Raw genomic sequence first — 12,921 nt, 5'->3', positions numbered from 1 at the left:
TTGTTTTATTTGTATTGTTCAAATTTGACTACACAAAATGTTATGTTTTTATTTTCAGCATATTTATTTTATGAATAAACGACCTCATTAATAACAATAGTATTAATTTAAATGAACTTTGTCAGAGGAATCATTTCTTTAAAGCCAGAATAATCATTTTTAATTAATTTATTTATATTCCCTGGAACTCTCTTTTTTGTTTTATTTCCATTTAATGACTTCACTTAGGTTTCCCTTCTGAGAGAAAATTTAGATGTTCAAGAGATTATATTTACCAGGAAAAAATAGTTTAGGGTACTTTGAACTTAAAAAAAGACTACGAGTTTTATAAAACAAATAGATTAGAAGTAAACCTAGACTCTTGCTTTCCTACTAATTTACACCTGGGCAAGTCCATAATTTTGATAAACGACGTCTTTGGAATAGCCAAGTTATCAGAAGAGAAAGGACAGCTTGGTGGTGTTAGGATTCGCTGAACTGGAGAGGGCTGAGCCCGCAGGGGCAGGTGGTCAGTTACAGCAACAGGACAAACATAGGCACACCTTTCCTCCCTCCATGGGCCCAGGAAGCCAGAACTCGAGCCGAAGAAGCAGTGACTCCTTGCTCCCCGCTTCCCATGGAGTGGAGTCCTAGTCCAGGGTCAGGCAGCTCTGCACAGATGTGGCCGTCTTCTCACCATCAAGGGAGCCCCAAACAAAAGGTTCCTGCAGTTTTTTGGGCCCTGGAATAAAGGAGAAGGGTGAGGGAAGAGGGTTAAGAATGGAAATTGCTGGGGGAGGGCTCAGAGTGGGAAAAGCGTCTCCAATTTTTCTCCATCCTTGTGGCAAAAGGAGGACTCAGCAGAGGAACTCGAAGAAGACTTTTGTCCAAAATCTCAGCTAAAAAGCCTTAGAAATGAAGGGTTGGGAATGTAAATGTGCAAAGACCACAGCCAGCCTGGTCCGGAGGCCTTGACTGCAGCTTCCTTCAGACGGTGATGCTGGCTTGCACTGAGCCAGGTGCCCAGGTGCCTCAGGCGAGGCCGGCAGTTGAGGCCACGCAGGTGAGGCCATGCGGATGAGGCCAGCAGGTGAGGCTTCCGTTGACCAAGGGCAGGCCCAGACACCATGCATAGGTTTCCAGCCAGGAGCCAGGCTCCGCAGGTGGAGGCGGTTTTGCAGATAGCTCTCGGTGTCGATTTGACTACTCACTAAGATTTTCTGAGTAACACTGTACATAACTGTTTCCATGTTTTCTATTAATGTGCTATGATTTCATTCCCTCCAGTTGTGAATATTAAGCCAGTGAAACATGGAAAAGGAATGACTCTCTGTATCCATATGGTCACTTAGAATATTTGCATGAACTTTAAATGTTCTGCAGGTTTATTAATGGGAAAATGTAGAAATAGAAATGTGGGCAATTTGGCCTCACTCAGCCAGAGGAAAATCAATGCTGCTATACATATCGATATCTTAAATTCAGAAGAAATAGGAGTTGAATATTACAAGGTTTCTGCTGATGGCTTCCTATCAGCCATACGATTCTGATTCCAATCCTTGTTATGATGACAAATGGTGCCGCTGGGCATTGGAACTTGGACAATAACATTGATGGAAAGGACGCAGAGAAGCTGGTCTTGGGGATGACGAAATGTTAGAGGTTGAATGCAACCAGTCAGTAGGACCTGTTAAAGCCAACTAAATATGGCCTGAAAAGGACTCCGTACTTCTATTATTTGAGTCCTTGTGGATGAACTGTAACCTAGCTTAATAGTCAGACAAAGTTGAAAACCTAACTTAGTAGTATATGCACCTGTAACAGTGGCTGAGTGTTGGCCAATCCCAGCGGCCATACTTCAACCACTCATAGACTGCTGAATGTTCAAACTGCCTTCAAATAAGGCCACTGCAGAGCTGTGACCAGTCTCACTGTTTCTGTACCTCATTTCTGATTCTTATATGCCACTTTACTTTTTTGTCTATAAATTTGTTCCGGTCACGAGGCACCCCTGAAGTCTCTGTGAATCTGCTGTGATTCTGGGGGCTGCCTGATTCAAAAATTGTTCATTGCTCAATTAAACTCCTTCAAATTTAATTCGGTTGAAGTTTTTCTTTTATCAGACCCAATGGCTCCATCGTGCCTTCGCTGCTCCACCAGAGACCTGTCCCTTTCCTCTCCGGGACCACATTCAGACAGGGAGGGACTTGTATATTCTAGGTACATTTGAGAAGTGTGTATTTTGGGGTGGGGCAGAAAGGTCAGCCCCAGTCTGGGTCTGATTCATGGCCCAGTCAGACCACAGGGCTGGAGCAGGGAAGAAGTGGGCACCCTAATCAGAGCAGTGAAGGGCGTCTTGGCAAGCAAGCCAGTCACAGGGGAGCCTAGTTCTAGCAGGGCCCACAAAGTCTGCTATTTTGGAGGTCCTCTTGAGTAGAAGATGAATTATGAACATGGAATTGTGTGCAAAGATGGGAAAGGGGCCCCTGCTTGTTACCGGAAAGGGGTCCAGATCCAGACCCCAAGACAGGGTTCTTGAATCTCGCACAGGAAAGAATTCAGGGCAAGTCCATGGAGTAAAGTGAAAGCAAGTTTGTTAAGAAAGTAAAGTAAACGAATAAAAGAATGGCTACTCCCTGGTTGCCCATTTCTATGGTTATTTCTTGATTATATGCTAAATAAGAGCTGGGTTATTTATGCCTCCCCCTTTTAGACCACATAAGTTAACTTCCGAACTTTGCCATGGCATTTGTAAACTGTGATGGCGCTGGTGGGAGTGTAGCAGTGAGAATGACCAGAGGTCACTCTCATAGTCATCTTGGTTTTGGTGGGTTTTTGCCGGCTTCTTTCCTGCTACCTGTTTTATCAGCAGGGTCTTTATGACCTGTATCTTGTGCCAACCTCCTATCTCATCCTATGACTTAGAATGCCTAACCATCTGGGAATGCAGCCCAGTAGATTTCAGGCTTATTTTACCCAGCCTCTATTTAAGATGGAGTTGCTTTGGTTCCAACGCCTCTGACGGGCCCACAAGGAAAGGCTGATGAAGGTCATGCTGAGAGGTGACAGCATGCTGGCAGTCCTCACAGCCCTTGCTCGCTCTCTGTGCCTCCTCTGCCTGGGCTCCCACTTTGGCGGCACTTGAGGAGCCCTTCGGCCCACCGCTGCACTGTGGGAGCCCCTTTCTGGACTGGCCAAGGCTGGAGCCCAGTCTCTCAGCTTGCAGGGAGGTGTGGAGGGAGAGGCACCAGCGGGAACCGGGGCTGCGTGCAGCATTTGCGGGCCAGTTGGAGTTCCCAGCGGGTGTGGGCTTGGCGGGCCCCGCACTCGGAGCAGCCGGCCAGCCCTGCTGGCCCCGGGGCAATGAGGGACTTAGCACCAGGGCCAGTGGCTGCGGAGGGTGTACTGGGTCCTCCAGCAGTGCCAGCCCACCGGTGCTGTGCTCGATTTCTCACCAAGCCTTAGCTGCCTTCCTGCGGGGCAGGTCTCGGGACCTGCAGCGCGCCATGCCTGAGCCTCCCACCCCCTCCATGGGCTCCTGTGCAGCCGGAGCCTCCCCGACGAGCACCACCCCCTGCTCCAAGGAGCCCAGTCCCATCGACCACCCAAGGGCTGAGGAATGCGAGTGCACAGCGCGGGACTGGCAGGCAGCTCCACCTGCAGCCCTGGTGCGGGATCCACTAGGTGAAGCCAGCTGGGCTCCTGAGTCTGGTGGGGACATGGAGAGTCTTTATATCTAGCTCAGGGATTGTAAACACACCAATCAGCACCTTGTGTCTAGCTCAGGGTTTGTGAGTGCACCAATCGACACTCTGTATCTAGCTGCTCTGGTGGGGCCGTGGAGAACCTTTATGTCTAGCTCAGGGATTGTAAATACACCAATCAGCACCCTGTGTTTAGCTCAAGGTTTGTGAGTGCACCAATCGACACTCTGTATCTAGCTGCTCTGGTGGGGCCTTGGAGAACCTGTGTGTCGAAACTCTGTATCTAACTAATCTGATGGGGACGTGGAGAACCTTTGTATCTAGCTCAGGGATTGTAAACGCAACAATCTCATTTTAGATCTTTGAGGAATGCCAGCTTCATATGAATTATATACATCCCAGAGAGAATATCATAATGTATATTCCATTATTGAAAAAAATGACCACTGTACTATTTTTCATTTAAAAACAATTAGAAAGATAAACATAAATAATGTAATAATTTCCAAAAATTTTCACATCAGTAGTTCTTATAGTTAATATTCACCACTGTAATTTGTGTGACAAGGTTCGTCACAGGAACAAGATTTTTGTTTTTGTTTTTTAATCAATTATTAATATTTTTGTGTTTTTTTTTAGTCTTAGTCTAACAAGCTTCTCATAGATGAAAATTATAAACCAATAGGGTTGGAAGAGTAATATTTATTCTACTTGCTAGGGCTATTAATTATTTTCTTAGTGTTTAACTGTGAATACTTATGTTTACTAAAATAAGTATGTTTTTATACATACACCAAAAACAAATGTTTGAGGCAAAACTGATCTCTGTTCTCAGATAGCAGGTTAATGGGTGCTCTTGGTGAGCTGTGGTGACTGGGGGCATAAAGAAGAAAGCTTCCAAGTTGCTAGGCATGTCTTGTTTCTTGACTTGCTGCTGGTTATATAAATTCAGTTTGAAAAAATTCATCAAGAATACTACTGGTATGTTGAGATATATAATGATATGTGACTTTTCTGTATTTACATTAAACTTCAATTTAAAGGTTTTAAAAAATCCACAAATGTTGGAAACCGTTCTTTAAAAAGTTATTTTGTAAATGATAATTTTGATGTATTTTTAAGAAAACTATGGGGCTCAGTGAAATGGAGATCTACAGCTCTTTTGGCACATAGTACTCCATAATTCACTCAAGTTTTAAATATTATTGGTTTCTAAATATAAATAGAGCATCTTCACGACTTGATTTAATTTTCCCAAATTTATTTATTTGACCCCAGACCTTGCTGACCTCTAATCGTCTCATTTTCAAAATGAAATCAATAGATCTATAACTGGAATGATTTTAGGGTATTAAAATTATGTTTCAAAGTCTTTAATGAGAAGTGATTGATAGTAGCTGCAATTTCCCCATAGTACTGATAGGCCCCGCAGAGGGAGCCCACGCTCATACTGTCTCCAGTTGAGGGATTGAGTTCCTCCTATTATCATGGTATCTATGCTACTCCCAGAGTGTCTCCAGTGTAGACTTCTCTTCTGAGATCCAAAGCCCTATGTCTAATTGCCTCCCTGATCATTGTACTTGAATATCTAACAGCTAAAGAAAGATGAGACCTGATATTCCAATCTTGTCCTGCCAAAGCCCTACAAACCTATTCTTTTCTTCCTAATTTCAGCAGGCAAGGCTGACATCCAACCAGTACTAATTCTGGATGCCTCTTGCCATTCCTTTCCTATCTCTCACCGCTCACGTCACCACATCCTGTGTATTCACCAGGCAGTGGATTCCCTCTCCTCTTTCATCGGAACACATTACCTTCTTTTCATTCCTTGAACACTCCAAGCTCTTTATTACCTTAGGACTTTCAGGTACAAAAGTATCCCTGGAAGTATTTTTTTTTCCCATTCTCTGCACAGTTGAGTTGTTCTCATTTGTAAGTCAGGAAGTATTTTTAAAGAGGTATTTTAGTCTACCAAGGAAAAAGCTCATTCACCTTTTTTCCTCTAACATCATTTTTCTTTCTCATAACAGTCTGTTATTTTTCCCCATAGCAATTAGCACAATTAAATTATAAATATATTTGTTTACTTGCCAGGCCACATAATCACACAAGTCAATGCATGAGCCATTTCCTTAAAATAATATATATACTCCATATTTGTATTTTGTGGAATATATATTATACATGTGATATATATTTAGTTATGTGAATCAATTATATACATAATTATTATTATATTCGTTCTGTTTCTCTAGAAGCTAATCCTTGACTAATTCAATTAACATGTTCAGAAATTGGCTGATTTTGAGTTTCAAGTGGGGAACCAAGGCTTTTACTCAGACTGTAAAAGCTGTGGAGAGACTCTTCCGTTCCTTGAGACGGGAAAGACAAGAATCCTATTTTGGCTGAAAGAAAGTGAACATTGTGCCAGTGTTCACTTTCTTTTGTGTTCACTGGTGTTTCGTGTTCATTTCAGTGTTCACTGGTTCACAGTGAAATGAACCAGCCTTGGAGCCTGTTAAGAGTTCACAAAACGTTGTTCACAGTCCAACAACTCATTGGAAGAGCAATGCACTGGCTTAATTCTGGAAAGAGGCCATGTGAAACAGGCTCGGTGAATGAGAACAAGGGTAAAGCTAAACCTGTGGGCCTGGACTCAAAGCACGCTCCATGTGCTCTGTGTGCTTGTATGTGCTTTCATATAGTCTCGCCCTGAACACTGATTCCTTTGACAAAAGCGAAAATGAATTTAAGTCCGGGCGTGGTGGCTCACGCCTGTAATCCCAGCACTTTGGGAGGCCAAGGCAGGTGGATCATGAGGTCAGGAGTTCGAGACCAACCTGACCAACATAGTGACATCCTGTCTCTACTAAAAATACAAAAAATTGGCCAGGCGTGGTGGTGGGCACCTGTAATCCCAGCTACTGAGGAGGCTGAGACAGGAGTATCACTTGAACCTGGGAGGTGGAGGTTGCAGTGAGCTGAGATTGCACCATTCCACTCCAGCCTGGGTGACAGAGCGAGACTCTGTCTCAAAAAAAAAAAAAAAAAGGAAAGAAAAGAAAATGAACTTAAAAATCCAGAGCACACACATATCAGGGGAGTAGCAATGGCACATCAAATTCAAACTGAATATTTTCTGTGATCTGACTATTAGAGTGCTGGGAATATTTAATAATTCTATTGATGAAATGGATTATAAAGATATAGTAGTACATATATATTGCATTATTTAAGGAGTTCTAACAATTTTATAGCCATTTTTGAAGTAATTAATATTCAGTTTTAGATGTAAGAAAAGGTGACAAAGAATTGCTAGCAGAGACTTTAGTCCCATGGGGAAAATCTTAAAGTGCCAATATTAAAATTTCATTTATATGTCATACCTTGTAATGCAAATGGCAAAGATGAATACTTTCATCTGACAAATAAAGATATAAAGCACTGAGAAGTTCCAGTTCCTTATCTAACGTAAACCAACTTTTCAGTGCAGAAGCTGAGGGAAAAAGGACACAGTTTTTTCCTGCAAGTGGTGTTGGCATTCCCCGTGCTGAATTCCAGTTATGAGAACAGGAAGCAGTGACAGCAGCAGGCTGATGGAAATCTAGGAGCAGGGACTCTTTGAAGAGTGTTGGTCTTTGTCAGATTTCCTGAGCATATTGCTTTTTTTTTTCTTTTTTGAGACAGAGTCTCGCTCTGTCACCTAGGCTTGAGTGCAGTGGCGAGATCTCAGCTCACTGAAGCCTCCGCCACCTGGGTTCAAGCACTTCTCCTGCCTCAGCCTCCTGAGTAACTGGGACTACAGGCGTGTGCCACCACGCCTGGTTAATTTTTGTATTTTTTAGTAGAGATGGGATTTCATCATGTTGGCCAGGATGGTCTCGATCTCTTGAACTCATGATCTGCTCGCCTCAGCCTCCCAAAGTGCTGGGATTGCAGGCATGAGCCACCGTGCCCAGCCGCATATCGCTTTTATAGAAGTATTTCAACGAGTGAGCAGGAGGCTTCACACAGACAGACAATGTCTGTTCCACAACAATTCCATAATGCCTACGCAGATGAATTAGGCAATTGTCCCTTTTATTATTTGATTGGTCAAAGTCTAAGTTCCACTTGGACAATTATTTATTAGGAAGGACCAAAATGTCATCTCTACATCATTCTTTTGCAGGCACTAATTCCATTTATTCTATAGGAAAATAGATGTGCATCTTCGTTCTAATTCACAGTGGCAGTTAAAGGACCTACAAAAGTAAGAACCTACAAAAATAATCTAGGGTATATTAAATACATCAGACATTTCATCTAATTTGACTCCTTTTCTTTTGTTTTCTAGACAAGGTCTCCAGATTTGCCACCCATGCTGAGTGCCGTGGTGTGATCATGGCTTATTTCAACCTCAACCTCCCCCACTCAAGCGATCCTCCTGCCTCAGCCTCTGGAGTAGCTGGGACTACAGGCACGCACCACCACACCCAGCCATAATTTGCCTCTTGCTGTAACTAAAAGGTCACAAAAACAAAGAATTCTAAAAAATCTTCTTCTTAAGTGGTATGTTTAGTATTTATCATGATGACAATGTTCTAAATTGCACCTGCCTCCACTAGCAGAATGCCAGGATTACTGCCAGACAGAGAATTCGGACTGCTGGTCCAGGGACATAGCTATGAAATGCACCAAGGACAGCAGAGTGTGTTTTGGAGAAAGCCAGGTAGCTCTTGATAGGGCCTATATGAGTACTTATTCCTGCTGATAGGAAAAAAATGATTAGAAAAATCTCATTTCTTTATTCATTTCTACTCTGAGAGCTTTTTACTTCTAGAAACACGGTCTTAGTTTTCTGTGTTATTATGTTTTTTTTTTGAAACTGACAAAATTTCACAATTAATTTATGTTCATTCAAATGTTTAATAATTATACCTTGAATTTGTCTTATAATTAGTATTTTCTTGTTATTTCCAACAAGAGAAAGTGTGCAGGAAAAGGGACTAGATCAGGTTGAGAGAGCCAGGGGTGTTCAGTCAAGCAGGCAGAACTCAGGACACTGAACGGGGTGAGTATGAGGCAGCCAGAGTCCCCAGACCCGCAGAGGAGGGTCCAAAGGACAGCTTTTCATGATCCAGGAAGGAAATCTCCTTCAATAACGTCTCTCCTTCAAGAAGCTGGGGGTGTCGCTGGGATTTAACGTAGAGATTCCAGTCTTAGATTGAGGGAAGGAAGGGAGGCAAAAGGAAGGAAGCCTCGCATCCTCATGCGAAGAAGCCAGCTTGTAGAAATGAAGCTCAAAATGATCCCTACAGCACAAGCAGTCCAGGGCATGTGGACTCCTGCTGGGTTGGGGCCAGGACAGGAGAAGAAAGTTTGATACAGGCCTGAGGCTCGGGAGCCCTGCACTGGCTGTGCGTCTCTACAACCATCCCAGAGTCGGCCCAGGTACCAGGTCTTCTGGCTCAGATAAAGATCACACATGACTCGCCTGAAAACTTGAGGCAGAGGTGTGCCATTGTCACAAAAGGCGCTGTCAGGGTGGAGGCTCAGGGAATGATAGAGGAGCTCTTGAATCACCCTGGAGAAATTTTACCTCGGTCAGACAGCTACAGAGCCGACTTAATATTTTTATTTAAAATCTAGATTATTTGGGGGCTGGTTTGGAAATGGGGGAGATCTGTGAGTCCAGGCATGGTAGCAGGAAGAGAAGAGGCTTCCTTGTAACCCTACTGACTCTTCCTCTCACTTGTCCCAAAAGCACAGGGTGAGAGACAAGAACATTGGTACAGTGCGTTCAGGAAACTTTTCAACTTTTTATGTGTAGTGTACCAAAATATTTTTTCACACATGCAAAGACAGTGGTCAGGGGCTATTCTGGCTTGTTAGAAAAAAGGATGTGACGTTTTCCAGTCCCTGGGTGGGTCTCAGTTCTCTTAGAGGCTCTGCCTCTCACTCACACCTCTGCTAGAGGAATGCGAGGAAGCTCTGACAAGATTGTGATCTGGGGACACGTTTGCCACCTCAGCGCCAAGGCTGACGTGGGGACATGGGCTACTCAGTGAACGCACTTTACCCAGGATACCAAGGGCACTTAATGATACCGACAGTTCTGTTTACATCCTTCTCCACTGCCTCCAGCATCATTCAAGGCGTAATCTCTTGGAAAAGTTTGATTAGAATGAATTCTAGTTTGGCGTAGGTTATTATGCACCTAAATTGGCTAAACTTAGCTTCATATATCAAACATAAGATATACATCTCTAGAGATGCGTCTGTGGAGACCTCCATAGGCACCAGTATATATTATTCTAAGTTTTACCTCTTTTCTTGTGGATTACTAACTTTGTGGTTCTCCCTTGATTAGGTTTATATGCAATTTTCTTAGAAAATGTCAACTCCAATTCTGCAACATACTGAGCCCCTTTATTGGAAACTTCAAAGTTCCTAGTCCAATCCTAATTCTAGATCTTACTTCATATGTTGCTTTTATCTTCTCTTGGGTAATGGGTCATTTCAAGGGTGATTTTTTTGACTTTATCTTATTGGGGATATAAGTGCAGATAAAGGAGATACAGACGAGCATTTAATTTTTTTTTTCAGTGCAGTGATTATGGAGTCAGGGTAGTATTTCTGCTGTGTATGGTAAACTCCATAGGATCTCATTTATTCATGGTTAAAGGCTTTCCTGGGGAAACCAGTATGCTAACTTCAGGCAGATAATAAAACCTGAGGTATATGGAGAGTGTCTACTTTGACACATTCAGGGCTAGCCCTCTCCTGCTGGTGCAGTTCAATGTGAATTTAGTCATTTGTGGTCACTTAACAGCAAAGAGATCTTTCTACAGAGTCTAGCTGTGCTGATTATCAAACTGGGGAAAATTGATGGCCATTTGTTATGGCTAATAACACAGGTGCCGGTCAACTTTATAAAAATGTAGAAAAGTATTTGCGGTGAAAATTATCCTAACCATTGTGGAAAAATGCCCATCCCACTTCAATTCATAGCTGAATACATATAGGAACTACAGTTCTCAGACCTGCAGTGAGTTCTGACCAATGGAATTCAGTGGGATGATAGATGCTGCCTTTGAAGCCACCCCATCAACTGGCTCATCTCCTCCTGTCTCAGCTCTTTCTCCTGCTGCATCCTGATGCAGGACCACTGCACAACCTCACAAACCTTATGTGGAAAGTAGTGGAGCCACCAGATGTTATGGGTATCCTTTAATGGAGAACTTTACACTACTTTGAAATGACAGTTTTATACTTTTCATAAGAAAGAAATAAACTTCCATTGTACTAAGCCACTGTGTTTTGGGCTTTGTTGGTTAAATGGTGAGCAATATCCTAACGATTGCACTGAAACACCACTTCTCCACCATGGGAGCAATGGAACTTAGAATTGTAGAGTGAACAAGGTGGATGACAAGGAAAATAATGGGAGCAGGCATTTTATATATACAATTATGGAAAGCACACCAGAGTCTTCTTTCTTTTAATGTAGCTGCTATGCTCCTCGGATCTTCCAGTTAGAAATGTGTTCTAGGAGATACTCAGAACTGATCTTCGAGGTAGATTGACTCTAGGTGGGTTAAGGTCTGTGACTACTGTGTTCACTCAGCATGCTGGGGCTCTGAGGCAGAATTAAATAAAAATAATCACCATTACTCCTAGATGGCATGTCTAATGTGCCTAAATTTAGGATAAATGGCTAACTGTACATACACACACACACACACACACACACACACACACACACACAGAGGCACACTTATGTAGCATGTCAGTTATATAATACAAGATATTTCACTAACCAGAAAATAAACAAAAGAAGCCAAAATGTGACTCATTCCTGGTGGTTCCCGGGATGGCTTTATAGTTATGACCCAGACTGGGTAACCTGTTGTCAGCAATCAGAATGTGGTATTAATTAGAAGTACTAAGCTGAGGGATTACCAGCCCCCGGGCCAGAAGCAGAATCTATAATATTTAAACAACAATATGTGAGTAGTGTAAGTATTAGCTCAAAAATCATTTGTTTTTAGAAAAAGGAAATTAGGAATTGCCTGCCTGTGTTACAATTTTAATGTCGTGATTCCTTTTGTCCAGCTGATGCTGTGTCTGCTGATGTGGCAGCACCTTGCCTGGGCTGTTGTGATGGCTCATTCGTTCCTCAGCAGTTTCAAAGTGGCTAATGAAATTCAGGCAACCTCCCCTCAGAGTTTCTTGGTCCACCAGTTCTTCTAGTTTTTGTTGTTTTGTTTTATTTTGATTTGCTTTTACATTTCCTTACATTTATTATGGATGAATAGCAATTAAGATCTTCAAGGACAGAGTGGGAAAAATAAAATTTATTGTTTTCTAATGTTCAAGGATTTTAAATAAATTGTTTTGGGAGCTGTAGAATAAGAATTTTAATAACCCTATGGTCGTTGTTATAATGCTAAAGATAATTTAAACTTGTACAATAGATACATATTTGGTACTTTCTAATACATTATTACTGTATCATCCATCATAGATTGATTTCTAGTGTAAATAGAATGTAATTCTGTTTAGGTATGGAACAAATTACTTCCGCCATAATGGTATAAATAATTGTGAGAGAAATTGATTTATAAGAAAGAAGTGTGATCCTAGAATCCAAATATATTAGTGCAAGAATTTACAGGTATTCTAAAATAGTTTCTTTACCCTATAGGTGAAATCTCAAATCTGGTTTCAGATTCCTCAGCAATGTTTCTTGATCTTATCTATCCAAAAATACATCATTAGTTACCAGTACTTCTTTTGCATTCTAGTCCATTATTCTCACGGAGCATTTCAGGACTATTTTCAAATTTTAATTTAACTTTCTTCCACCAACCATAAAATATCCTTACTGCTATCTCAATCAATTAATCTTCCTAGCCCCTTCTTATCTCTATTTATTTTTATAAAACATGTATAGCTGCAACCACACAAATACAACAACAAAAAATGCGGACATTTATTTTAGCAAAATTTACATATAAATATTGTTAACATAAAATGTGATTTAGACAGAAAAAGACCACCCAATTTTTTATTTGATCCTATTGGCATTATGGATTAGGATTTATAGTGAAATTTATGCTGAATGAAAATGATTTAAGTTCTGAAAATGTCACATGAAAAAATAATAACCTATTCATTGAACATGAGTAGGTACTATTGTATATGCATATGTATACGTATACGTATACGTATATGTATATAAGCCTGTGTGAAT

General features: G+C 41.7%; 1 long non-coding RNA gene across 4 annotated transcripts in view, besides 1 other annotated feature; it reads left to right on the top strand.

Moving 5' to 3' along the window:
- LOC105375282 (uncharacterized) overlaps positions 1-12,921 on the top strand; it is a 70,883-nt gene that overhangs the window by 30,146 nt on the left and 27,816 nt on the right. For 3 of the 4 annotated variants that reach the window (XR_927269.3, XR_927268.3, XR_927267.3), the window contains one exon: positions 8,020-8,234. This is a non-coding gene — a long non-coding RNA (uncharacterized LOC105375282). Of the gene's footprint in view, positions 1-8,019; positions 10,975-12,921 lie in introns of those variants that run through there. The other variant, XR_927266.3, reaches the window with a different exon arrangement.
- Positions 3,220-3,720: an enhancer, noted in NCBI's record as "H3K27ac-H3K4me1 hESC enhancer chr7:53452734-53453234 (GRCh37/hg19 assembly coordinates)". NCBI's record gives its function as "activates a minimal SCP1, AML or CMV promoter by ChIP-STARR-seq in naive H9 embryonic stem cells {active_cell/tissue: H9 hESC(naive)}" and the evidence as "EXISTENCE:reporter gene assay evidence [ECO:0000049][PMID:30033119]".

Source organism: Homo sapiens, chromosome 7 (assembly GCF_000001405.40).
Source record: "Homo sapiens chromosome 7, GRCh38.p14 Primary Assembly".
In the NCBI taxonomy this organism is placed as follows: domain Eukaryota; kingdom Metazoa; phylum Chordata; class Mammalia; order Primates; family Hominidae; genus Homo; species Homo sapiens.
The sequence above is the reverse complement of the archived record's forward strand: the minus strand, read 5'-3'. Positions and strand labels throughout refer to the sequence as shown.